This window comes from Homo sapiens, chromosome X (assembly GCF_000001405.40).
Source record: "Homo sapiens chromosome X, GRCh38.p14 Primary Assembly".
NCBI classification, from domain to species: domain Eukaryota; kingdom Metazoa; phylum Chordata; class Mammalia; order Primates; family Hominidae; genus Homo; species Homo sapiens.
Window position 1 is genome coordinate 24,190,435 of NC_000023.11, and position 26,990 is coordinate 24,217,424.

General features: G+C 39.8%; 1 protein-coding gene across 52 annotated transcripts in view; it reads left to right on the forward strand.

The window, feature by feature from the left end:
* Window positions 1–25,821, forward strand: part of ZFX (zinc finger protein X-linked) — a 67,274-nt gene extending 41,453 nt beyond the window's left edge. For 45 of the 52 annotated variants that reach the window (XM_011545581.3, XM_047442439.1, XM_047442450.1 and 42 more), the window contains 5 exons: window positions 16,892–17,041; window positions 17,278–17,421; window positions 17,784–17,936; window positions 18,466–18,606; window positions 19,759–25,821. In XM_011545581.3, the coding sequence (XP_011543883.1) occupies window positions 16,892–17,041; window positions 17,278–17,421; window positions 17,784–17,936; window positions 18,466–18,606; window positions 19,759–20,942 (1,772 nt within the window). In that variant the 3' untranslated portion in view covers window positions 20,943–25,821. Of the gene's footprint in view, window positions 1–285; window positions 408–16,891; window positions 17,042–17,277; window positions 17,422–17,783; window positions 17,937–18,465; window positions 18,666–19,758 lie in introns of those variants that run through there. The other 7 variants (XM_017029799.2, XM_047442460.1, XM_047442458.1 and 4 more) reach the window with 3 other exon arrangements.

The window sequence follows — 26,990 nt, forward strand, 5'->3', positions numbered from 1 at the left end:
AATCTAGGTGTTGGCTAGCTTTATAACAAGAATAAAGCACTCAAATAAGGCAAAGATGTTTTAGTTTCTCCCTTCCCCTGCCAAAAACAAGGTTGGGAAAAGGTCTCTATTTTGAAAGCATTACAAGCAATTGGAGCTTCAGACTGGCCTTGTGGTTAATATTTACTGTTTATCTGCTGAAACCTAGACAAAAATGTCACCCTGCCCTTTGAACAGATATATGATTACTTTGTGAGGTAATGGGCTTGGGGAGGGAAGAGAAAAGGAGAGAGGGAGAGAGAGAACATACCTCTCCTTGCCTATCTTAGAGAAGCAACATCTGGTATATGGAAACTCAGCTTGCAGCTGAGTCAGGCAGCCTTGGATTTGGATACCAGCTCTGCTACTCATTAGCTGAATGAATTCGGGCAAGTTAACTAACCTTTTTGTTTTAGCTTCCTTATTTGTGAAATGGCAGCAATACTGCTTGACTTCCAGGGTGGTTGTGAGAATGAGAGATCCTGTCAGTCACTGCTAGCTGTTGCTGTGGTTATCATCCAGAGGCTTTCAGTCAGTAGCATCCATTGGGCTAGCAAGGCTCAATCTCGACTAGCTTCATTATGACCTTTCTGTTGTCCCATCAGGGAATTCTTCCTGGGTAAGGGCAGGTACAGGGTGGGATTGTAACAGTTATTCCTTTTTTTTCCTCCTGAATGTATAAAGAAATCAGTTATTGTTTTACTAGTTTTAGACCTATTCAACTATTTTTCATTACTTAGGTCTCTGACACCATGCTACAGATCACTCTAACTTAGGACAGGGACCTGACTGGCACTGTTCCTTTAATTCCTCGTCTACGGAATGAGGCTAATTTCACTAAACCTTTGAATCGCTCTAGGAATGTTTCAAGAATTAAAGGAGATCAGATCGTACCCAATTCTTTCAAGTCTCTTATAGGCTATATAATAAAAATAAGGTGGAATTTTAACCCCACAAAGAGGGTTCCTGAGGAGGAAGTTAAGAGAGGAAGGTCTAAGAGTGAAATTTAAATGTATTTATCTACTAAAGCATTTGCCTTCTTGACAGAATACTTCCTGCAAGTTACTCAGTCTTTTAGGTGCTCTGTTTTCACATATGTCAAGTAGAGACAGAACATCTAAGTTCTGGGGTTGTCGTCATTGATTTCATAATAAAATACAGGGAAACTACTTACCATAGTGCCTGGGACATAATAGTTGCTCAGATATCCTTTTAGGAGGAAATACCCATCTTTGATATCTTCATTGGATTTTTTTTTTTTTCCGAGATGGAGTCTTGTTCTGTCCCCCCAGGCTGGAGTGCAGTGGTGCGATCTTGACTCACTGCAACCTCCATCTCCTGGGTACAAGCGATTCTCCTTCCTCAGCCTCCCGAGTAGCTGGGATTACAGGTGTGCGCTACCACACCCAGCTAATTTTTGTATTTTTAGTAGAGATGGGGGTTTGCCATGTTGGCCAGGCTGGTCTCAAACTCCCGATCTCAGGTGATCCACCCATCTTGGCCTCCCAAAGTGTTGGGATTACAGGTGTGAGCCACCAAGCCCGGCCTTCATTGAGTATTAAATAGCCATCCACACAGGGACCCTGAGGATGTTGAATAATATCAAGTCTATCCTACAGTTTTTCTTTTGATTGGATTTTGGGGTTAGAGGTTTAAAAAACATTCTGGTAATTAGGTAGTAAGACTATTAGACTTGCCATAGTAAGTTAGAATAGGCTCATTGTTCACAGAACCTAATTTTATCTTAGCAATAGTGAGGTGTATGGTAAGGAAAGGCCTGGTTTCCCTCATTGACATCAGTCCCAAGATCACAGGTGTGAATCTTGTTAAAACTTTAGAAAAGATTTGTGTATTCATACTGCCCCTTGAGGTAACTTACTTAGGAAGTAAAATCATCTTTATTTTTCTCTCAGATTAGCCTGTTTAAAGATTTATCAGGTGTCTGGAAGGCTGGGATTTAGTGAATGAATTTATGTCTACCTTGTGAGTATTGGCCGTAGGTTTATTGACTTCAAGTTTAATTAGAGTTTGAGACTGATTGTGTCCTCATGGCATAGATTTTCCCTCTTGTTTGTGCCTCCTAGATAATTTCAGTTGTTCTCAAGACGAGCACAAGATCTTTTCAATCTTTATTGAAATGTGGCAATCAGTGTTGCAGTGTTAAGATTTTGAAGCCTGGCACAATGGCTCACACCTGTAATCCCAGCATTTTTGGAGGCTGAGGCGGGAGGATCACTTGAGCCCAGGAGTTCAAACTAGACTTGACAACATCGGGAGACCCCATCTCTAGAAACAATTAAAAAAAGAAAATAGCTAGGTGTGGTGGCACATGCCTAGGAGGCTGAGGTGGGAGGGTTGCTTGAGCCCAGAAGGTCAGGGCCACAGTGAGCCATGATTGTGCACTGCATTCCAGCCCGGGTGACAGAGCGAGACCCTGTCTCAAAAAAAAAAAAAAAAAGATTTTATTGGAGCTTATTTTAATGACTGTTTAATGACTTCTCTTTTCTGGGTTTTATTTAAGAGATCATTTCTTATCTTTCAGGTCTTGTTGTTTCTTTTATACTTCCAAAGGCTTAGTACTTCCATGTTATGCCCTTCTAGTGTCATTAGCAGACACTAGTATATTGGTTTAAAGATGTAAAACCAGATGGGCCATTGAAAACATGTTCACACAAAAACTTCTGCACATTCATAGCAGTATTATTCACATTAGCCAAAAAGTGATGACAACCTTGATGTTCATCAGCTGATGAATGGATAACTGAAATGTGGTATATCCATACAATGGGATATCATTCAGTCATAAAAAGGAATTAAGTTTTGTTGAATGCTGCAATATGGATGAACCTCGAAAGCGTTATGCTTAGTGAAAGAAGCCAGGCGAAAAAGACCACATGTTGTATGATTCCATCTATGTGAAATGTCTAGAAGAGGCAGAGCCATAGAGAAAGTAGAGAAGTGGTTTCCAGGAGATTGGGGGAAGAATGAGTTGGGCCTGACTGCTAATGGGTATGGTGTTTCTTTATGGGGAATTAGAAGGGTGCTGATGGTTGCACCACAGTGAATGTACTAAAAATCACTTAATTGTACACTTTAAAATGGATAATTTTGTTATGTAAACTATATCTCAATAATGATAAAAGCCAAATGGGCCAAGCAACAATCCCCTAGAGCCTTTATTATTAGCTTTTCTATTTACTAAAGGTCCCAAATTAGCTTTTCCTCTTTAAGCAATTACTTTTTTCAGTAAAATATCTTCAGGTATCATGAGGGATGTTTAAAAAAGGAGAGGTGATAGTTGTGGAATTGTGGCAAAAGCTTTTAATTTAGTTTTTAAAATTATTGTTTTTTAATTATAAAATACACCTACAATTTACCATCTTAACAATTTTTTAAGTATACAGTTCAGTGGCATTAAGTGCATTTACACTGTTGAGCAACCATCAGTATCATCCATCCCCAGAACTCTTCATCTTGCAAAACAAACTCTCTATATCCATTAAACACTAACTCCCCGATCCCCTCCTTTCAGCCCCTGGCAGCCACCCTTTTACTTTCTGTCTCTTAGGAATTCGACTACCCTAGCTACCTCTTATAAGTGGGATCATACAGTATTTTTTCCTTTTGTGGCTGGCTTATTTCACCTAGCATGATTTTTCAAGATTTATTCATGTTGTAGCTTGTGTCAGAATTTCCTTCCTTTTTAAGGCTAAATAGGATTCCATTGTATGGATAGACCATATTGTGTTTATCCAGTGAAAAACTATTTTAAAGCAGTAATCCTTTGCCTTACCTACCCTTTGTTCTTCCTGGCTTACCCTTCTCCCCCCCACCAAAGCAACTGTAGCAGGTCCTGGAATAACACGTTATTTCCTTATAATGTTGATGAGAAAGAAAATCGACTTTCTGTTGGGGCCACTGTCCCTGTGGCGTTTGCACATTCTCCTCATGTCCATGTGGGTTTCCTCCCACATCCCAAAGCTGTGCACATTAGGTTTATTGGCATGTCTACACTGTCCCAATGTGAGTGAGCATGCCCTGTGATGGTTCCTGCCTGGTACCCTGAGCTGCTGGAGAGGCTCCTACACCCATGACCCTGATCTAGAATCACTGGGCAAATAATTATCTTGTTTTTACTACTCTTTCTTAAATATATGTGTAGCCCACATTTATTTCCATGTTTAATGCTACAAGTGTTTTAGACTATATTTAGAAGTTTGGTGATGTTTTTGTGACCAGAAATGTGCCATAGGAACTTAACTCTTGTTTATATCAATTAGCCTACAGTAAAAAATTTTTTTTTTTTTTTTTTGAGGCAGAGTCTCACCCTGTCACCCCAGCTGGAGTGCAGTGGTGCTATCTCGGGTTACTGCAATCTCCACCTCCCTAGTTCAAGCAATTCTCCTGCCTCAGCCCCCCAAGTAGCTGGGACTACACGCATGCACCACCCTGCCCGGCTAATTTTTGTATTTTTAGTAGAGATGGGGGTTTCACCATGTTGGCGAGGCTGATCTCGAACTCCTGACCTCAAGTGATCCTCCCACATTGGCCTCCCAAAGTGCTGGGATTACAGGCGTGAGCCACTGCACCCGGCCAAAAAACTGCTTTTGTTATATACTACGTTGTTTGGCTGAAAGTCACAATTTCCGAGAACCTACCAATGACATTACGTGAGGACTTACACTGTACTTCTCTTTCAGCTATTTCTAATGGTACTTATCTATATGATTGTAAATAATACGCTTTCTTGATTTTTTTTTGAGACGGTGTCTCGTTCTGCACCCAGGCTGGAGTGCAGTGGCGTGATCTTGGCTCACTGAACCTCTGCCTCCCAGGTTCAAGCAATTGTCCCTGCCTCAGTCTCCTGAGTACCTGGGATTACAGGTGCCTGCCACCGTGCCAATTTTTTTTTTTTTTTGAGATGGAGTCTCGCTCTGTTGCCCAGGCTGGAGTGCAGTGGCGCGATCTCGGCTCACTGCAAGCTCCGCCTCCCGGGTTCACGCCATTCTCCTGCCTCAGCCTCCTGACTAGTTGGGACTACAGATGCCCACCACCACGCCTGGCTAACTTTTTTTGTATTTTTAGTAGAGACGGGGTTTCACCATGTTAGTCAGGATGGTCTCGGATCTCCTGACCTCATGATCCGCCCGCCTCGGCCTCCCAAAGTGCTGGGATTATAGGCGTGAGCCACCATGCCCGGCGTGCCCGGCTAATTTTTGTAGTTCTAGTAGAGACGTTTCACGATGTTTTGCCATGTTGGCCAGGCTGGTCTCTTGTGATCTGCCCACCTTGGCTTCCCAAAGTGTTGGGATTACAGGCATGAGCCACCACGCCCGGCCACTTTCTTGATTTTTATTACTTCTGTTTTATATGTTCTTTCTTCACGTCCTGTTGTGATAGCTGACAATTTTGCTCACTTTTGTTCTCACCTCCCTTTCCCGTGACTTTTCATGATAAGTGTGTTACAATTTTTGGTTCTTTGCCTTTTAGAATTTAAGTAATACATTAACATCTTTATTTCTTGTTCCATCAAATGTGGACAGTATCTTTTGACTCCTCCTTTTTAAGATGAGGATATCAGTGCCTTTGCCCTCCACTTTCCTTGAGCTGTTCAGCCTACCTTCCAATCTATGTTTACTTTGTATTGTTGAGGCTGATCCATCTAAGTTTATTTTTTTTGAGATGGAGTTTTGCTCGTTACCCAGGTTGGAGTGCAGTGGCGTGATCTCAGCTTACCACAACCTCTGCCTCCCGGGTTCAGGCGATTCTCCTGCCTCAGTCTCCCGAGTAGCTGGGATTACAGGAATGCACCAACACGCCCGGCTAATTTTTCTATTTTTAGTAGAGACGGGGTTTCTCCATGTTGGTCAGGCTGGTCTCGAACTCCTCACCTCAGGTGATCCACCTTCCTTGGCCTCCCAAAGTGCTGGGATTACAGGCATGAGCCACTGCGCCCAGCCAATCCATGTATGTTCTATAACCATTAGCCTTCCAATAAAGTAGAAAATCAGTACTCAGTGCTTACATTATTTTGATTGTGAAAATATCATTTGCAGCATAACCATTGATCACTTTGATTACATTTTTGCATACAGCTTTTTTCCCCTAGAAATTTTAATTGTCTCCTTTCCCCCTTGTATTACCTTTTTTTTTCTTTTGGGAGACAGGATCTTGCTCTGTTGCCCAGGCTAGAGTGCAGTGGTGTGATCATGGCTCACTGCTGCAACCTTGGACTCCTGGGCTCAAACAGTCCTCCTGCCTCAGCCTCCTGTGGAGCTGGGACTGCAGGCATGTGCTACCACACCCAGCTAATTTATTTTATTTGTAGAGATGGGGTCTCACTATGTTGTCCAGGCTGGTCTCAAACTTCTCGCTTAAGTGATCCTCCCACCTTGGCCTCCCAAAGTGTTGGGATTACAGGTGTGAGCCACCATGTTTGGCTGTAGGTTGGTTTGTTTGTTTGTTTATGCATTGTATTTTCATGCATGGGAGCCCTTTGAATTTGGAGATTTCCTCTAATAGTAGCCACTAGCCACATATTTGGCTAAATAAAGTTGTTAAAATGAATTAAACATACAGTTCCTGCGTTGCACCAGTCACAGTTCAAGTACTCAATAGCTACATGTGGCTAGTGCAGAGCATTTCCTTCATCAAAGAAAGTTCTGTTGGTTAGCACTGATCTGCAGGCTCAGTGAAATTGCAAACAATATGATGTCTTTTTAAAAACTTGAGACAGGCCAGGTGTGGTGGCTTGTACCTGTAATCCCAGCGCTGTAGGAAATGGAAGTGGAAGGATTGCTTGAGGCCAGGAGTTCGAGGCCAGCCTGGGCAACACAGATCCCATCTCTACCAAAACAAAAACATTTATTTATCATATATTACAAGGCAATAGGGGCAGTTAGAGTAGAAATTGACAAAATTCAGAAAGAAGCTGAAGAGAAAAAAATATGATCAAGGTAAAAGCCACCAGAGAAGCAACAATAAGAAAAAATGTATCTTAGCATATAGCCAAGGACAGAGGGATTGGGCTTTAAGAAATCACAAAATGAAATTGTAAGAAAATAAAATTGTGAAAATGCTTATGGAGAAGGAGGATAGATATGGAGAAAGATAAAGGATACAAACACACATAAGTGAAATTCCAGAAGAGAACAACTAATGAACTAGAAAAATATTTATAATGGGAGATTTTTTTCCTGAGATAAAGATTAGGATCTTTCTTGTTCCAAGAAATTGTCAAAATGGTAAAACAAGCAAATCATAATCATACTGTTATTTAGTGAACTTTAAGGATCAAGAATTACAGGGACATCCACACACAAATGCTCAATGCTAGGAGACAGTGGAACAATGTCTGCAAAGTTCTGAGGAAATTGTAACCTAAGAGTTTTGTACTCAGCCAATTCATTCTTCAAGTAAAGGCCATGGACCAACATTTTCAAGTATTCAGGAATTCAGGGACTGTAGTACCCATTGGCCTTTCTTGACAGGGATGGGGGAACTATTTGGTATTGAATCTAGCAGATGAAAGGATCAATCAATAGAAAGAACCCTAGAATGGAGAAACTGATTTTAAAAAAACTAGAAATGAGCAGTGAATTCATTTAATATAAAACTAGCTATAAAATATTTGGGGGAGTGGAGAAGTCAAAATGTTAACTTCCACATCTTTCACATAGTGACAGTAGATGCTGGCTCTAAAACTTATTTGTGTATTATAGGCAAAATATGGATGCTTTTATAATATTTTTTCTTTTATTTATTTTTTGAAGTGGGGTTTCGCTTTGTTGCCCAGGCTAGAGTGCAGTGGCACGATCATGACTCACTGCAGCCTTGACCTCCTGGGCTGAAGTGATCCTCCTACCTCAGCCTCCCGAGCAGCTGGGACCACAGCCCCATACCACCATGCCCAGCTAATTTAAAAATTTTTTTAGAGATGGTCTCACTATATTACCCAGGCTGAAGCAATCCTCCCACCTTGGCCTCCCAAAGTGGTGTGATTATAGGCGTGAGCCACTGCACCTGGCTTTGTTTTTTTTTTTTTTTTTTAGAGGGTTAAGAACTAATATCTTAATGACCAAACATTTACTTGAAGATTAGCATTCATATATTTAACGAATGAATGTTGCTTGCTTACTCTATATGCTGGGCAGTATTGTAGGCACTTGGAATACATTAGTGAACAAAACACAGGGAAGTTTCTTTCCCTTATAGACATTACATTCTAGCAGAGGTACACAGATATAGGTGAGTAATACAGCATATTATAAGGTGATACGTACTTAGGGAGGTAAAAAGCAGTATAAGGAGGATTTGGGTTATAAGTATGGTCAGGGTTTTGCTGAGAAGGTAACATTTGAGCAGAGACTTATTTTTGAGACATCTGATAGACACCAAAGAGGAAATACATGTACAAATCTGAGTTATGGAGACAGGTCTAGAGTGGAGATGTAAATTTGGGAGTTGTTGGTACATAGATGAAATTTAAGCCATCAGACAGAAAGAGATAACCAAAGGAGTGATTGTAGACAAACTAAGACTAAGGACTAAGCCCTGGGGTTTGCAGCATTAGGCGGTAAGAGGAGGCTCCAGCAAAAGAGTGAGGAGGCATGGTCTTGGTTAGTGAGGTGAGAGGAAACCAAGAGGTTGGGTCAGGGGAGCCAAGTGAGGAAAGTAAATCACAGAGAGTGAGCATCTGTCAGATGCTGCCGCTGCAAGTCACACGAGGGCTGAGAATTGGTCACGAGTGACCTTGATGAACAGTTTTGGTGAAGTTATGGGCAAAGAATGACCTGATTGAAGTGAATCTTTTTTTTTTTTTGGAGGCAGGGTCTCACTGTCACCCAGGCCGAAGTGCAGTGGCACAATCACAGCTCACTGCAGCCTCGACCTCCCAGGTTGAGGTTGTCCTCCCACCTCAGCCTCCTGGGTAGCTGGGACTACAGGTGCACACTACCATGCCTGGCTAATTTTTTAATTTTTTGTAGAGATAAGGGTCTCGCTGTGTTGCCCAGGCTGGTCTCTAACTCCTGGGTTTAAGCAATTCTCCTGCCTTGGCCTCCCAAAGAGCTGGGATTATAGGTGTGCACCGCTGCACCCAACCTTGAAGTGACTTTAAAGGATGAAATGAGGCTAATTTGAGAAATGGAGGTGGTGGAGAAATGGGATCAAGAGTTTTTGCTTAGCCGGGCACGGTGGCTCATGCCTGTAATCCCAGCATTTTGGGAGGCTGAGGTGGGTGGATCACCTGAAGTAAGGAGTTCAAGACCAGCCTGACCAACATGGTGAAACCCCATCTCTATTAAAAATACAAAATTAGCCAGGTGTGGTGGCGCACGCCTATAATCCCAGCTACTTGGGAGGCTGAGGCAGGAGAATCGCTTGAACCTGGAAGGCAAAGGTTGCAGTGAGCTGAGATCGCACCATTGCACTCCAGTCTGGGCAACAAGAGCGAAACTCCGTCTCAAAAAAAAAAAAAAAGTTTTTGCTCGTTTTAAGCAGGGGAGAAAGAATGGCTTGTTTGTATCCTGATGAGAATGATCCAGTAGAGGATGCAGGGAAAGAGAGGGGAGAGGTGCTCAAGCAGTGAAGGGCCTTCAGAAAGAGGGGATGGGCGATAGGAAGGAACACAATGGTTTGTGGGAACAGGCTGAAGACAGCGTTTATGGGCTTAGTTGCTGGTAGGTGGATTAGATGTGCTAGCAAATCTTCTCTTCTGATTGTTTGAATTCTAGGTGAAGTAAGAAGTAAGTGATGATGGGGAGGTGGTATTAGACATTTGAGGGGAGATGAGAATAGGGAAAAGAGGAGAGAACAGAAAGTAGCAGAAATGGCTCACTGCAGGTTCAGGGTTATGAATTTAAAGTGAAACCATCTGCTGGGTGTGTGTTTGTGTTTCTGTGTGTTTCCAGCCACATTTAGCTACATAGGTGCTAGTGCAGAGGCAAAGAGGCAAATTGTAAAGTGTCTGATTGTGCCAAGCCTGTGTGATGAAACAAAAGAAGGGGTAGGGAAAGGGAATTGAGATCGTGGGCAAGGGAATGGGATCGACTTTGGAGTTAAAATTGTTTTGTTGTTGAGTTTAAATTCTAATGTTGTACCTTTGTTTAAAAAGAGCATGTTACAATATCTTATTTTCACAAAAAAATCTCTGTTCTTTCTTCCATCCTTTTATTTGTAGTATGCGTGGAGAAATGTCTAATGATCTGTAAATTCTGTTGATAGTTCCCAGTGGCAGGATTTTGAGCACATTTTCATTTCTTTCAGAAGATGAAGATAAAGGTCTGAGTTCTAAAGACAGGCACCTCACTTTCTCTTCCACCTCTCACTTAGTAGCTCACTGACTTTGGGCAAATCACATGCCATTTCAGAGCCTGTATTTCTTTATCTGGAAAAGATGAGAATCAGATGTAATAAAAAAATGTAGAAATGCTAAGGATATTACAAAATGCCATGCAATTGGTAGTTATTATTAGAAGTAGTCTTAATTTCCAGAAATTATGCTCTTCTATTTTGGAGAAGCCTTATTCTAAAGCTCTAGTTCTTCATTACTACATTAGGAGAAGGCACTTATGCAGGAATCATAGGTAGGATGACTCAATTTTATCGAAGCCTTCTTTGTCTGTTTTTAGAAATTCATTTTTAATAATGGTAGCTTTAAAATCATAGTGAAATTTTGAGTACTTAACAGGACCATAAAAGTGTCTTTTTTAAAGATAAATCATTCCTGTAACATTTCATATTCAGAATAATTTTATAGATTGAGTTAGTGGGATAAATGTTCAAGGTGAAAATCTGAAGGTGAATTATATTTATGTAATAGAATAGCTTTGCTACCAGGTAAGCTCATATATTTGGAATGTGTTTTCCCTCACATTTGTGAAAGCAAACAAAGGGCTTTTACTCCAAGTTACAGGTAAAACCATGACATTTTGCAAGCTCTAAAATGATTGGATTTTCTAGTCATCAGAGGTTTAACCTGAAGGGTACAGACAAATTGACATGCAAAAACAACAAGCCTGGCCCTGTTCTTTGTAAACACAAGGACATTGGATTTTCCAGTACTTGTTAGAATCAGTTTTGACAAGCCTTGTCAAAAGAGGCCAGCTTTATCAACAACATCAAACTGTTTCGAGTTGAGTTATCCAAAGATGTTACAGATTTCTGCCTAGTTTGGTGATAACTTTATCCCTCCACTGCTACCTCAGTTTGAAATTCCAAACCACCTTTAAGAAAATAACCTTGGCCCAGTTAGCCGGGTATATCATAAAAATAGCTTTGAAAAAGGGTAAGTACATATCAGTCCAGAAGTAAGAACATTAATATTGACTCTTTCTCCCTACAAACCATTTTTATAAAGCATAATCAAAATACTTTAATTTAGATAGTTATGTCCAGCGTTTAGAGAACCTGTAGTTGTTTTCTAACTGCAAAGACTTTAACCAGTTGGACTCTTTAAGCCTTCATATCATTAAGCTTGTCCTGGATCACTCATTTTCTCTAGTTTCTCAAGCTCTTAACCCAGTCTGTTGTTTTCTCACTGATTATCCAAGTTCTTGCCTCCTGTTTCATACCTATGATTGAAGCCACCAGCCATGAACTACAACTTTCTGCATTATCACCTTCCCTGCTTCCCTAAACCCAGCATAGCTACATTCTCATTCAAGTCTCAGAAGGATAGCATGTTTCTCTTCTATTTAAGGAAAATTCCTTCATCTTTGCTCCTAGTTTCATTTATCCCTTTTCCTCTGAGATCTGGATCCCAAAATTTCATCATGTGCTCTGGCTTCAGTCTCTCACTTTCTATTCCGTTTTCTCCCACAGACTGAGCATGCTTGAGTATTTTTATCTATTAATACTAAACGGAAAAGTCCTTGACTCTGCAACCCATTCTAGTTATTGTCCTTTTGTTTGCCTTTTTACATACTTGAAGAAATTCACATGTTCCATTGACTCCTCAGCCCACTCTAGTCTGACCCCCTACAGCCTTCACTCCACTGATTTTAACCAAGAACATCAGCGACCTCATGCTACTACGGTGGACATTCCTCCTCCACGTTCCTTCTTGTGTGGTGCTGCATTATTGCCATGGGCCTTACTAGGGTTCCTGCATCTTTTAACTCCCTAGCTTCCTTCATGCCCTTCTACTGCCCTCTCCAGCTTTCCCTTCTCTGGTTTATGAACTACTCTTGCCCCTCCCTTCAACTGTGGCATTCCCCAGGACTCTGTCCTCACACTGCAGATTCTCACTGCATGATGGCAAAGCTTAGTTAACACAGTTGAGGGCTCCCCAAAGTGTGTCAGCCTTCCAATTTCAGACTTGAATATTAAGCAGCTGGCTTCACATCTCATTCATTCAGTGAATCGTTGATTCATCAATATTCTGATCATCTACCATCACCAGACTGGGTCTTAAAAGACTGAGTAATGAAAATACAGGTTCTGCTGTGTCAATGGGAAAGACGGGGAGAAAAACCAGACAGTGGCCACACAGTGAATCACATATTCCAAGAGAAGCAAGCAAAGGGTGCCGTGAGCACAAAGCAATAGTGACAATCACTGGTTCTTAGGGCTTTTCAGGACGTTATTCTTAGGACCTTAAGTTAATCAAACATGCAGGAAGAGAGATCCTTTTCCTCATTTCTCTCACATTTCTTACCCCAGTCACTCAGTCACCTAAATTTAAACCCAGTTATCCTTGGCTTCTTCGTCATGTTGGGTTTTCAGTCAGACACCAAGTTCTACTCATTTCAGTCCCAAGATAGGCCTCAAATCCAGCCCACTCCGCCAGTTGTACTACCTCCGTCCTGATTCAAGGCCTCGTCATCTATCACCTGCATTACTGCAGTAGACTCAGGTCAGCTCCATGCTTTGATCTCATTGGATCTACCTTTCCAAGGCCAGCAAAAACGGGCACCTGACTTAGTCACTGCTCCGTGTGAAAGTCTCCCAGTCCTGCAGCAGATGTTCTCCAGCCTCTCATCAGAGTCCCAGAGGCAGGGCGCCCCTAAATCTGTCTCTATATAGCGGGTCCCAGCGCTGCAGATTCTAATTCTGTAGAGCTGCTGGACTGGATGCTTTGTTTTTAAATTCCCTAAGAGATTTTGACACCTGACCAGATTGAGAAACCCTTGGCCTGCAAGGATAAAGTCGGAGCCCTTCTGCCTGTGCATGAGGCCCTTCATGACCTGGCTTCAGCTTAGCAGTCGGCTGCATTTCCTGCCATGTCCTGTGCCACCCTTTACCCTCACATTCCAGCAATATTGAACCATGCATTCCCTTACCATCACGCCGTTTTGTGTCTCCCTTCATTTGTCCCCTCTCTTTCTCTTCACCTGAGTGAGGTATCTTTCCTTTGTTCCCATGGCAGCGATCAGTGCACAGTGATATTTGCCAGTCATTTCAGACTCTCATCCTCTCATTTTCTGTATCAGTTTATTAAAGATTGCATTAGAGGGTTCAACATTAATGTCATCTTACAATATACATAAATAAGCTTTTGCTTTTTTCTCATAAATGACCTTCATTTCAATTTATGTAGGAAAAAGTATAATTTATCAACAAGTGCATTTTTAAGTGACTTGTTTGGTTTTGAAACTGAAGGTATATTAAAATGTAGTTTGTTGATTAGTGATATCAAAAATAGACCAAAACAACAACTGCTTTCAGTGACCCAGAGTTTGGGAATCTTGAACTTTGCATTTGAAACAAGCTGATTAAATTTTATAATTTTTATGTTTGTAAATGACAAAGGTTTGGGGCTGCCATTTTCAAGCTTTTCTTTGCAAGTAATTTGGGATGTGGATGGTCTTGATTCTCAGTAAGTCAGAAGTTAAGTTGACAAATTGTCACTGTATTTTTGCTTTTTAATGTTGGCTTTTGAGATATTAGATTCATCTTGATGTTCTGTGTAAGAATTTTGATTAGGTAAACACAGTTTTTGGATCTGATGGAGATCACGACAGAACTTTGCAGAAGTATCATTTCAAAGACGTCAGAATCTGAGTTCTGTCTTGGTATAACTGGTGTAAATTACACAAGGGATGACTGTGAATTTTAAAAGTTATAGTGGTCAGAACCACCACCACCTAGCCTTGGTTGCAATACTGATTATGCCTGCCTGAGTCATGAGCACATTCATTTGTTTTTCACGAAAAGAAAGCATGTTTAGATAGTTACACTATTTTCTGATTTTTCAAAAATCACAGTTGCCTCTACCAATTTAAACCCCATGCTCCATATTCCAGAAGTTGACGAGCCCTGATTGGGACTAACGTAGCTTGAGATCTGAATTGCGTGACTCCAGATAAGTTACTCAACCTCTCTAAACTTCAGTTTGCTTTGCTGTGAAATGTAGAGAATATTGTACCACCTGCCTCACAGGGTTGTTGTAGGTATTAAGTAGTACTTACCATAATCACTTAGTAAATGGTAGCTGCATTATTATTACTACATTTAAAAATACTCACCTGTTTACTTGTCCACTTTGCCATAAGACTGTAAATTTCTGGAGCCCTTGACTTTTTCATATTTGCATCTCCAATACCTGCCTAGAGTCTAATGTAGTTGTGATTCACTGTTTGTTGAACTGAATAAAACAATGTCCATCCAAAAGGAAAACAGATATGTCTAGCAGAGGAACACCAGAAAGGGAACTAAAAGGGCAAAGGGGAAATGAAAAGGCTTGTTGTTGCAGGTATTACAGACAAGCTCAATGAGCCTTCTTTTCTGGGCCTCGGTCCTGCTCCCCTCTAGTTGGTCTTCCACCATGTCAGATAGGCCAGCTGGGCCTAGAGCAGAGAGAACATTCCTTCAGTGTTTCACTAATGGACTCAACATTGAAAAAACCCAACTTTTTGTGATAAATTAAATTGTATTGGGTGCTAACTTTTCATTAGTCTTTGCCACACTTTTTGTTGAGCTAGACATAGCAGTGAGTGTCCATAAGTGACATGTAATGTAAGGCTACATTATATGGGGATTATGCTTTTGGTATTTATTCAAATCCAGAGTCTGTTATTTGAAGACACCATTTTTTGCAGCTTTATTTTCCAGGTCCTGTGAATAACAGGACACTTATTTTCTTGGCTACTTTGTAAAGTTTTAAAAAATGTGATGTTTGGCTGGGCGTGGTGGCTCACGCCTATAATCCCAGCACTTTGGGAGGCCGAGGTGGGTGGATCACTTGAGGTCAGGAATTTGAGACCAGCCTGACCAACATGGCGAAACCTGTCTCTACTAAAAATACAAAAATTAGCTGGGTGTGGTGGCGGGCATCTGTAATCCCAGCTTCTTGGGAGACTGAGGCAGGAGAGTCGCTTGAACCCAGGAAGCAGAATGAGCCAAGATTGTGCCACTGCACTCCAGCCTGGATGACAGAGACTCTGTTTCAAAATAAATAAATAAAAATAAAATAAAATATAAAAATAAATAAATGTGATGTTTGTTGTATATCCCCTGAGTCTCTACTATTGGAAATCATATGTACCTCTTTTTTTTTTAAATTTTTTTCCTCTTTTTCTCCCCTTCTGTCTCTCTCTGTTTGTTCATTTTTTAACACATACAGGCTATTATACCTTCATTAATGAGAGCAATGGGTATATGAGAATATGTTTAAATTCACGTATTGCTGCATTTGCCAGCAAGGACCTAGACTCATTATTGTCATAAACTAAAGTTGTGTGTGTATGTTATGCATATTTACATTTAAGCAGATTGAAGCTGAATTTCCATTGACCAATCTCATTGTGGTGTACCTTTCTGGCAATCATGTTTTGATTATTTTCAAATGTATTATTCTATTGCAAATAGATCATATCAAGTGATATTCAAGAATAGTGACCACGAAGTACTGCTTATAAAATATTTATATGAAGACTATTTCTTGATTTTACTTCTAGGACATTCTTCTAAGTTTTTTTGTTGTTGTTTTGAGACAGGGTCTCACTCTGTAACCCAGGCTGTAACCTTCACCTCCCAGGCTCATGTGATCCTCCCACCTCAGCCTCCTGAGTAGCTGGGACTACAGGCGCATGCCACCATGCCTGGCGTGTGTGTGTGTGTGTGTGTGTGTGTGTGTGTGTGTGTGTGTGTGTGTGTATTTTTTTTTTTTTTGGTAGAGATGGGGGTCTTGCCATGGTGCCCAGCCTGGTCTCAAACTCCTGGTCTCAAGTGATCCACCCACCTTGGCCTCCCAAAGTGCTGGGATTACAGGCATGATCCACTGCACCTGGCTGGTTCTTTTAAGGTTTTAGTATTAGAAGATCTTTAATATAAGAGTGCTTTTACCTTATGGCTTAGCAAAGGCTGTTAAGTATATTCTTTTGTATTTACAGTTTTCTAGGCTACCAGGAGTTTTCTCTATGTATAGTATTTTTTGCTTTAATATCTGATTCTGTTTTTAGAAGTCTTTAGAAATGTATTTATTGAATCTTCTAGTTGTCTAGGTAAAATCCAATTTTATGTGAATCAAGTTAGAGATTATATTTGTAAAAGAACTTTTGCCGGGCGCAGTGGCTCACACCTGTAACCCAGCACTTTGGGAGGCTGAGGTGGGCAGATCACGAGGTCAGGAGATCGAGATCATCCTGGCTAAAATGGTGAAACCCTGTCTCTACTAAAAATACAAAAAATTAGCCGGGCGTGGTGGTAGGCGCCTGTAGTCCCAGCTCCTCGGGAGGCTGAGGCAGGAGAATGGCTTGAACCTGGGAGGCGGAGGTTGCAGTCAGTGAGCTGAGATCGCGCCACTGCACTCCAGCCTGGGTGACAGTGAGACTCCGTCTCAAAAAAAAAAATTTTTTTTTTTTTTTTTGCGAATAGTAACATTTTATTTAAATATCTGTTACTATTTGTGATTTATTTCCTTCCTTTTTAGTGGATGATGCTGGCAAAATAGAACACGATGGTTCTTCTGGAATGACCATGGACACAGAGTCGGAAATTGATCCTTGTAAAGTGGATGGCACTTGCCCTGAGGTCATCAAGGTGTACATTTTTAAAGCTGACCCTGGAGAAGATGACTTAGGTAAGAAGAAGTGTTTAGACATTATACATCCTCATCCAAATGTTTCAGCCTGATTACTTTTGGGTTATTTAGATTGAGAACATTTGGAGTCTCTTCTGAAGTAACTTTTATGTAAGAATTCCGGTGTAGTAATACCAAAGTTTGTAAAAAGTAATAAGAAAATTATGTAAAAAGAAATAGGTGGAAATGCAGTTTTCAAATAAATTATTGAAGCTGTCTTCTTCCCTGATTGATAGGTGGAACTGTAGACATTGTGGAGAGTGAGCCTGAGAATGATCATGGAGTTGAACTGCTTGATCAGAACAGCAGTATTCGTGTTCCCAGGGAAAAGATGGTTTATATGACTGTCAATGACTCTCAGCCAGAAGATGAAGATTTAAGTAAGTAGGTGGCCTTTTTGTGGGAGAAAATTTTATGTTTCTGGAGCTTTTAAGTGGCCAGTGTTTGAAATAAGTAGCATTATTTTAGAGATTATTATGCTACTACATTCCAAGGGAAACATCTTTGACTCTTTTATATATGCTTATGATGTTGCTTTAAAACCAAGTTATGGTGAAAGCCAAGAAGTAAATGATTCATTCAACAAATATGTATTGAGTGCTTACTACGTGAAAGCTATGTTCTAGGTATGTAATATTTGGACCATCTTTCCATTTTGTCTATTAACTGAATTCAAATAAAAACGTGTTTCCTGTGATCTCTGTAAACCTGGTCACAGAAGTTTTTGTAACTTTCTACTTAGATGTTGCTGAAATCGCTGACGAAGTTTATATGGAAGTGATCGTAGGAGAGGAGGATGCTGCAGCAGCAGCGGCAGCCGCCGCCGTGCACGAGCAGCAAATGGATGACAATGAAATCAAAACCTTCATGCCGATTGCATGGGCAGCAGCTTATGGTAAGTTGCCCAGCAGCTCTTAGCATTGAAGAAGTTGGTTCTTAAACATGAATCCATGATTGAAAAATGGTTTCTGTGGTCTTAGGTTTCAGAAGTCTGAAATACCAGTATCCTGTAAGGATTATTTGAATTGAATTAGAGTATAAAGTCTACTTTTTGTCTTTATTTTTAACAGGAATTTCCTTCATGTGTATATTATGTAGAAGGAAGTACTGCAAGAAGTACACAGGCTTTCAGGCTGAAAGTTTTCATCTTGATTATGTTTGGCCCATGACTTTTTCATTTTGGGAGACAACAAGGGAGTCCATGGCGCAAAAATGCTGACATGTGTTTTTTAGCTTTGGAAGCTAGGCGTTTCCTACGGTCTCGCGATAATAAATGTGCTCATAAAACCCATGACCTAGAATGGGGAATTTCTGTCATTCATGAGTATCATGGCTTACTTTTCGTTGTTGTAGTTAATGAAGAATTCCTAATTCTTTAAAATTTATAATACTGTATAATTTTGTTTTTTAATACACATTGTTAGGTAATAATTCTGATGGAATTGAAAACCGGAATGGCACTGCAAGTGCCCTCTTGCACATAGATGAGTCTGCTGGCCTCGGCAGACTGGCTAAACAAAAACCAAAGAAAAGGAGAAGACCTGATTCCAGGCAGTACCAAACAGGTGAGGGCGCACGAGTTCCATGGCGCAGCGTGCTCTGCGAGCTCTCAGAGGAAACTCTAGTATGTATCCACAGGGGTGTCACAATGGCATTTTAGCTGCTAGACCATATATAGCTTTGTCTATTGAACTTGAAAATATAATTTTCAGAATTCAGTGATATTCATGAATGATTTCCTTGGATAAAAAGAAACAGGACATGGCTGAAACATGGATGAGAAAAATTGAAAACTTGGATGATTTTTATGTGTACATGGAATGAAATCCCTCAAATATGTTATAAGCATTAACTTTTTAAATAAATTAATACATTTAGAGAATCTATGTCAGCATAAAGCAGGCATAATTTACAGAGCAGCAGGATAAGTACTTTAGTTCATATGACATTCCTATTCTTGTATGATGATTTGCGTATTAAAAATTTTATGGGTATATTTAAACTTTGCTGTAAGTTAACGTAAGTTATGTTTTTTGGAATAAACAGTGGAAATTTTTGTCACCAAAGTTTATTTTTATGAATAATTTTCCACCAGTTTATTTACTTATTTTTTTTTGAGGCAGAATCTTGCTCTCTTGCCCAGGCTGGAGTGCAGTGGCGTGATCTCAACTCACACTGCAACCTCTGCCCCCTGGGTACAGGTGGTTCTCCTGCCTCAACCTTCCAAGCGGCTAGGATTACAGATGTGTGCCACTGTGCCCCACTAATTTTCATATTTTTAGTAGAGGCGGGTTTTCAGCATGTTATGTTGGTCAGGGTGGTCTCGAATTCCTGAGTTCAGGTGATCTGCCTGCCTCGGCTTCCGAAAGTGCTGGGATTACAGGCGTGAGCCACCGTGCCCAGCCAATTTTCCACCAATTTCTAAATTGCTGTAGGTTTAATCACTAATTGATAAAAGTTACATATTCATTAATTTTATTAAACTAGAGGGAGTGAAGGCGGTACAGTCTTCATGAAGGAAGTTTCCAGACCATTTTCTCTATGACTAGGTTGCTATATCTCTTGTGTTGAAAAACAGTAAAAGGAATGTTAAGCAGCAAATAGTCCAATTTAGGAGTCCTTGGCCAACAGTGGTCAGAACCCACACTTTATATTCGCAAAGAAACTGGAACAGAACTTGGTTTGAGCACTCATACTCCTTTCTTTTCCTTTTTTAGCAATAATTATTGGCCCTGATGGACATCCTTTGACTGTCTATCCTTGCATGATTTGTGGGAAGAAGTTTAAGTCGAGAGGTTTTTTGAAAAGGCACATGAAAAACCATCCCGAACACCTTGCCAAGAAGAAATACCGCTGTACTGACTGTGATTACACTACCAACAAGAAGATAAGTTTACACAACCACCTGGAGAGCCACAAGCTGACCAGCAAGGCAGAGAAGGCCATTGAATGCGATGAGTGTGGGAAGCATTTCTCTCATGCAGGGGCTTTGTTTACTCACAAAATGGTGCATAAGGAAAAAGGAGCCAACAAAATGCACAAGTGTAAATTCTGTGAATACGAGACAGCTGAACAAGGGTTATTGAATCGCCACCTCTTGGCAGTCCACAGCAAGAACTTTCCTCATATTTGTGTGGAGTGTGGTAAGGGTTTTCGTCACCCGTCAGAGCTCAAAAAGCACATGAGAATCCATACTGGGGAGAAGCCGTACCAATGCCAGTACTGCGAATATAGGTCTGCAGACTCTTCTAACTTGAAAACGCATGTCAAAACTAAGCATAGTAAAGAGATGCCATTCAAGTGTGACATTTGTCTTCTGACTTTCTCGGATACCAAAGAGGTGCAGCAACATGCTCTTATCCACCAAGAAAGCAAAACACACCAGTGTTTGCATTGCGACCACAAGAGTTCGAACTCAAGTGATTTGAAACGACACATAATTTCAGTTCACACGAAAGACTACCCCCATAAGTGTGACATGTGTGATAAAGGCTTTCACAGGCCTTCAGAACTCAAGAAACACGTGGCTGCCCACAAGGGCAAAAAAATGCACCAGTGTAGACATTGTGACTTTAAGATTGCAGATCCATTTGTTCTAAGTCGCCATATTCTCTCAGTTCACACAAAGGATCTTCCATTTAGGTGCAAGAGATGTAGAAAGGGATTTAGGCAACAGAGTGAGCTTAAAAAGCATATGAAGACACACAGTGGCAGGAAAGTGTATCAGTGTGAGTACTGTGAGTATAGCACTACAGATGCCTCAGGCTTTAAACGGCACGTTATTTCCATTCACACGAAAGACTATCCTCACCGGTGTGAGTACTGCAAGAAAGGCTTCCGAAGACCTTCAGAAAAGAACCAGCACATAATGCGACATCATAAAGAAGTTGGCCTGCCCTAACAATACTTCTACAGAACGTTTGTAGAGATATTGGCCTTGAAGCAGAAAATTCATTTTAAAGCCAATCAGTCTCATTCACATACAATACTGTATATTGATTTATGCTGTGTACAAATAGAATTATTACTTCTAGTTGACTTTTTTTTAAATATACATTTTGCTCAGTAGTGTGTTCTGAATTCTATTCAGTTTGTTTAATAAATAGGGAAAACTGGCAACATGCTAGTTACTTTTAATAAAGTAATCCCTGATTCTATACCGAAGTTTTATATCTTAGAATTTTATATTTATTTAAATATTTACCTTGCTTACCTTGATGGTACTCTTCTAAGACCATTAACTTAAGGTAACTTTATATTGGTAACTCTGAAAGTATTCATGTTGACTCATTTTTTTCCCCATACATTTCTCACAATAAAATTGTCAGAGACATCTACTAATATAAATGGGAGATTTTACAGTCAGGTCTAATTATCATAACATGGAAGTCATTTACTTGTCTTGCTTAATATTTTCAGACCACTTGACAGTGAAAGTTTCCATTTGAGCTGTTGCGTCCCTGGCTTTGCTGAGTAAAGAGCAGTGGCTGGGTTCGTGTTTACTTTTCAAATATACTTCTTTTGGCTTTCTTTGGATTATTTACATCTTTTGTCAGCGTAGCAAACTTTTAGAAAACCTTATTGAAAAACTGTGCTTGCTCATGTTGTATTTTGATTATTCTGTCTGTGCGGCTTCATCTTGGAATGGTTGTGTGCTACAAATGACACTTACTGAGGACTGCATTTTGGAATCTCCTAGAGGTAACTCATGGCTTATAGGATCTTTTGCAACTTTATGTATGTAAATGTACCCTGAATTATATATATACACATATATATCATGTACCTGTGTGTATTGCTTATTTTACATATTTATACACACAACCCCAAGTAGTAGTTGTTTAAAATCTATAATGAAAAGTATTAAATTTACAATAACATGAAAGATCCAGGGATGCATGAGAGAGCATTTTGTAAGTCATGCTCTTCAGAGAGACTACTCAGGTGAAGAATTAGAAGGAAAATAAGGACACTAGTATTTTTAAAGAGTAAAGATATTTTCTTTTAAATATCTTTGGTAATTGAAACATAGAGGTTAAGATGTTTCTAGGTAGAATGTTTTCATACAATTTCACCTCCATGTCTTTATGTTTTTCTGAAAAGCAAATGAGTATCCAGACATGACTCCCACAGTTCTCTTTGAGAAGCCTGAGAGGGAACTCTGTCTTACCTAGTGAGGGGGATGGAAAAGAAGTGATGGCTCTGTGGACCAGAGAACGGGTGCTAATTATGACTTCACACTCGGCAAGTTCAGGCTGATCTGTTATTTCTCAGTTACAGTTAGCAAACTTTAAAAACTTAACACTCAAGTTGGCTTTGATTAAAAGGTAAAGATGTGTTTTAAGTGGATAAGGAAAGTCTGAGGCCTTATTTGGAACATCACTAAGTCTTCCACAGGTTTTTTGTTTGTTTGTTTTTTTTTGTTGTTTTTTTTTCTTAAGACGGAGTCTTGCTCTGTTGCCCAGGCTGGACTGCAGTGGTGTGATCACTGCAACCTCTGCAGCTCACTGCAACCTCTGCTTCCTGGGTTCAAGCAATTATCTGCCTCAGCCTCTCGAGTAGCTGGGATTACAGGCGCCCACCACCACGCCCGGCTAATTTTTTGTATTTTTAATAGAGATGGGGTTTCACCATCTTGGCCAGGCTGGTCTTGAACCCTGACCTCGTGATCCACCTGCCTCGGCCTTCCATAGTGCTGGGTTTACAGGCGTGAGCCACCGTGCCCAGACACCACATAGGTCTGAATCAGTGTCATACATTCATAAAACAAACTCGGTTAATTAGAACTTGGTTATGTTAAGACGAATCTGGGAGAACAGAAAACAGTTTTTGGGGTCCCTTCAGTTGGCTATTGGTCCGTATGCATCTAGCACATTGTAGGAGATTTAGAAATTGTCTTCCCACCCGATAGCTGCCTTGTCACCTCATTATGGTGCTCCATCCCCTGTGTGCTTAGGTTTTTACCTTTCATCTTTCTCTTTGCCATTGATGTTTGTATTCAAGAGTTATATTTTTAGGGTTAGAAATCAAAATATTTGGTGTTTGGCAAACCTCTGAAGTGCTAGACTGATTTAGTCTAGTTTTAAACCAAGTGCTTTAGGCAGGTGTGAACTCCAGCCCAAATGCCAGTCAAAGTCAAGGCATGGGTTTTCCTAGCCTATCTTATAGGAAATTCCTGTACCTTCTTGGCCCCCATAATGTGTTTTTTTTTTTTTTTTTTTTTTAAACTAACTTACAATTTTGTGATCCGTGATTCATTGCCCTGCGATTCTTGAAAGCTCTGTCTGTTTTTTTGTGAGAACCTTTAAAATCTCCCTTAATTTTTATTTTCCCAGAAATAATGTAAAAACACTTAAATGAAAGTGGAAATGTATTAATTTTAAATCCTATAAAATTAATACAGAAAATATAAATGATTGGGTCATTTAACTATATTTTTTTAAATAAACTGAAAGATAAAGAACACAACACTTCACACATTTTATATTTCTCTTACATACTCCGGAATCATACACAGTTCTTTTTAAAGCACAACATTAAAACCTTTAAAAGGTATTTAAGGGTTTGGTCAAGTGAATATGATAAAACATACTTGTCTGTATAAAGAGAAAATGAAATTGTAGTCACTGTTATGTACTGACATTAGTTACAACCTAGTTTTAATTCTTAAAACAATTTTGATTAGCAAAGCTAAAAAAAAATGGATGTTTCAGTTAAATGTTTTAAAGAGGTACAGATTTTTACAAGGACATAATATAAGTTATTGTTCTGTAGAAATATCCTATTAAATATTGTATGTCCCTCCCTCTGTACACTTTGTAAAGAAAGTAAAATACATAAAAAGAAAATCATATAGGGATGTGTGACATTATTGTAATTGTGTACTTGAGAATAACGTGCAAAAATAAAAATCAGAATATTTTCCTGTTATTGAATGTTTAGTCTATTTGATACCAGTACTAAGTTAATGCTTTTTCTCAAGGAAAAAAAATGTACAGTTTTTGTAAACCTAATAAACATCAAAAGCAGTGGATTATTTTCATCCCCCCATTTCTTAATTTCTTTTTCACAGCAGTGGAATGCAAAGTGCTTGATTGCTTTGAATTTTGTGACTCGGATGCAAATACTGGTAATATTTCAGTTCTGTGAATTTGCAAGTAATATTTCAGAGAAGTTAAGAGGTGATTGGTGAGTCCTTTGATGAGCATGTCCTTGGAATTCATTTTTTCTTTTATCTTCATAAAGGATTTGTTTTATTAGCATCTCCAATTCCCCTGAGATAAATTACTCATGCATAAAGTGGTTTTTGAGAGCACTTAAAGTTCATTTCAGTATTAATTTACAGCATATTTAATCAGTGGGGACTGTTACCACCTCCACAACAGAAATCATGCCCTCGAGTTACCCCACTGCGCCCAGTTTAGAGGACTAGTAGATGCTAACATACTAGGGAATGGTCATTGCCACAGTTAAAAATCGGCAGTTAAGTAAATGTCAGGAGTCAAAAGAGATAGAGTTGTGCCATCTTTGATTTTATAGACAAGATTCTGCAGTTCTTCCAACTGTATGAACAAACGTTTGCCTAATAGTTGAAACAATAAATTAAAATTTTAGGTAAATGACGAAGGGAATGTGGTGAATGTCACTGTCCAGAGCCATAAATCAGACAAAACCATACATAGCATGCTGAAAAACTTTTGTAATGGAACACCCAACAAATGACACCTAACCTGTCTGTGATCCAACAAGTCCGATAACATGCTGCTGTATTTGTATTCTCTGGGAATCTCAGTATTAATAATTTCATTTCCCACAAATTCTAGCATTCATGTAAGGAAAAACATGGCTAATCAATATCTTAAAGGGGCAATCTTTCAGAGCAGTGGTTTTCAAAGTATGGCCGGACAGCATTGGCAGCATCTTAATCTCCTGGGACTTTGTTAAAAATGCAAATTCTCAGCCCCACCCTAGTCCTACTGAATTGGGAAACTGGCGTGGGACCCAGCAGTCTTTGTTTTAACATGTTCTCCAAGTGATTCTGATGCCTGTTCAAACTTGGGAAACACTTTTAGAGCACTTGAGGAACCTAAAAGATGACTGGTTCAGCATTTTGTGTGGTAGATAAGAAAGAAATTATCACAAAAAATCAGAAATGAACAGTGAGAGAAAAATAGGACCCCAGACAGTTTATACCTTCCATTTGCTGTTTTAAAAGTGTGAGCCTGCCAAGTCAACAAGTATGCCTTTAGCGCACATGTAAATAGCCTGCACTTCCTAAATCTCGTGTGGCCTCCCATGGTTACATTCTTCAAAGGTAAACTGAGTTGAGAGGAAGATTCAGCATTTAAAAGAGAAGGGTTGAAAAAGATTGTGTGTGTGTGTGTGTGTGTTTAATTGGCCCAGGGTTACTTAAATAAATCATAACCATTTTGCCACATTCTGTAACTGTTTAGCTAAGGTCAAATTAAGTTTACCCTATGGATTTTGTTTCATCTTTTGTTTCGTGTATATACTGTTTGCCTTTTTCATAAAAATCTTGGATTTGTTATATATTGTTCCTGTTATTTTTGACATCTTTGCTATTGTAAATAAATTACTATTTTGTTTTAAGTTACCCTAGTGGAGTGTTGGCTATAGACAAGGTATATACTCGAAACGAGGAGACTTAAATCACACAGTTAATGAATTCCCAACTTGTTTGAAGCTGGAGGTGATTCGACTCCCTTCAGTGGTTCAACACTAATAATAGCACCAAGGAACATGTCACTGGTGCATATAGGCATAGCATCTGTACCGACTTGGATTTCAAAATCATGTTTTGACCTCTGTGATGGAAGTACTCACTCCATGAAGTTTGAGGTCAAAATCAAGAATTACTTTCCTTTACTTGGTTTTTCCTATTCAATTGGTCTCTCATGTTACTTGTATTGCTGGTATTGGTGGACACAAAGGATCTGGCATTACAGTGACCTGTCGAGACTGTAAAGCCACTAGGAGACTTGGCTACTAAAAACCTGCTCAGGACTTCTAGATGTTGTTTGGCTCTGAACTACCACAGAAGTATCTAAACACATTGACTAAAAGTATAGAATAGTTAACTAGACCTATATTATTTTGCTTTCTAAGAGGCCAGTTTCTGCTTTTAAATGCAGAACCCATTTCCTTTTGTCTGAGATTCTTTGAAATAGGAGGGGTATTGCAAAGCCATCTGTTGGGGTTTTGAAGGTTCTAGTCACCTGTCCTCCCCTCTTGAGTTCTAACCACATTGAAGATAGACAAGAAACCACCAATTAAGTGTGCGATTTATTCTAGTAAGGCTGGATTGGGAGACCCAGAGGCTGAGATGAGTCTGTTTCCAATCTCTTTCCCTCCAATGTAGGCCTTGACTGATGCAGCCAGTCATTTGAAGGCATGGGGCCTACCTTCCACTCCTTTGTGAGCTATCAGGAGACTAGTTCTGTCATCAGAGAAAGGGAGCATCTACTCCAGCCCTCCCAGGCTAGAACACAGGAAAAGGGGGAGAGTTCCCTTACATCATCCTAATAAAGGTTAGTCCAATTCTGGATTGCCCTCTGACATTAGCACACTAGCAACATGTGAGGTTTCGCCATTAGCCTTGCATGTTTGTGTCCACTTTTATTGATTTTTACTGTTCCCCCTTGAAGTGGTGGTTGTGGCAGACTTTCTAAAGTTCCTTTCTCTCTCAAGGCAGTATGCTTTGGTGGTTCTTCAGAAAATTAATTTTTAAAGGGCAAATGTACTTACTATACAAAGATGGAAATCTTGCAAGTTATTTTTATTGCATGCTTTCGTAACAAAAATTGGGAAAATGATCACCCACAAGGCCACCACCTTTATTAAAGGGATTGCTTGTCTTTGTTCTCTTCTAGTCTTAGTCCATACACATAAATCTTTTATCTGTCTTGTAACCACAATATCAATTCTATTC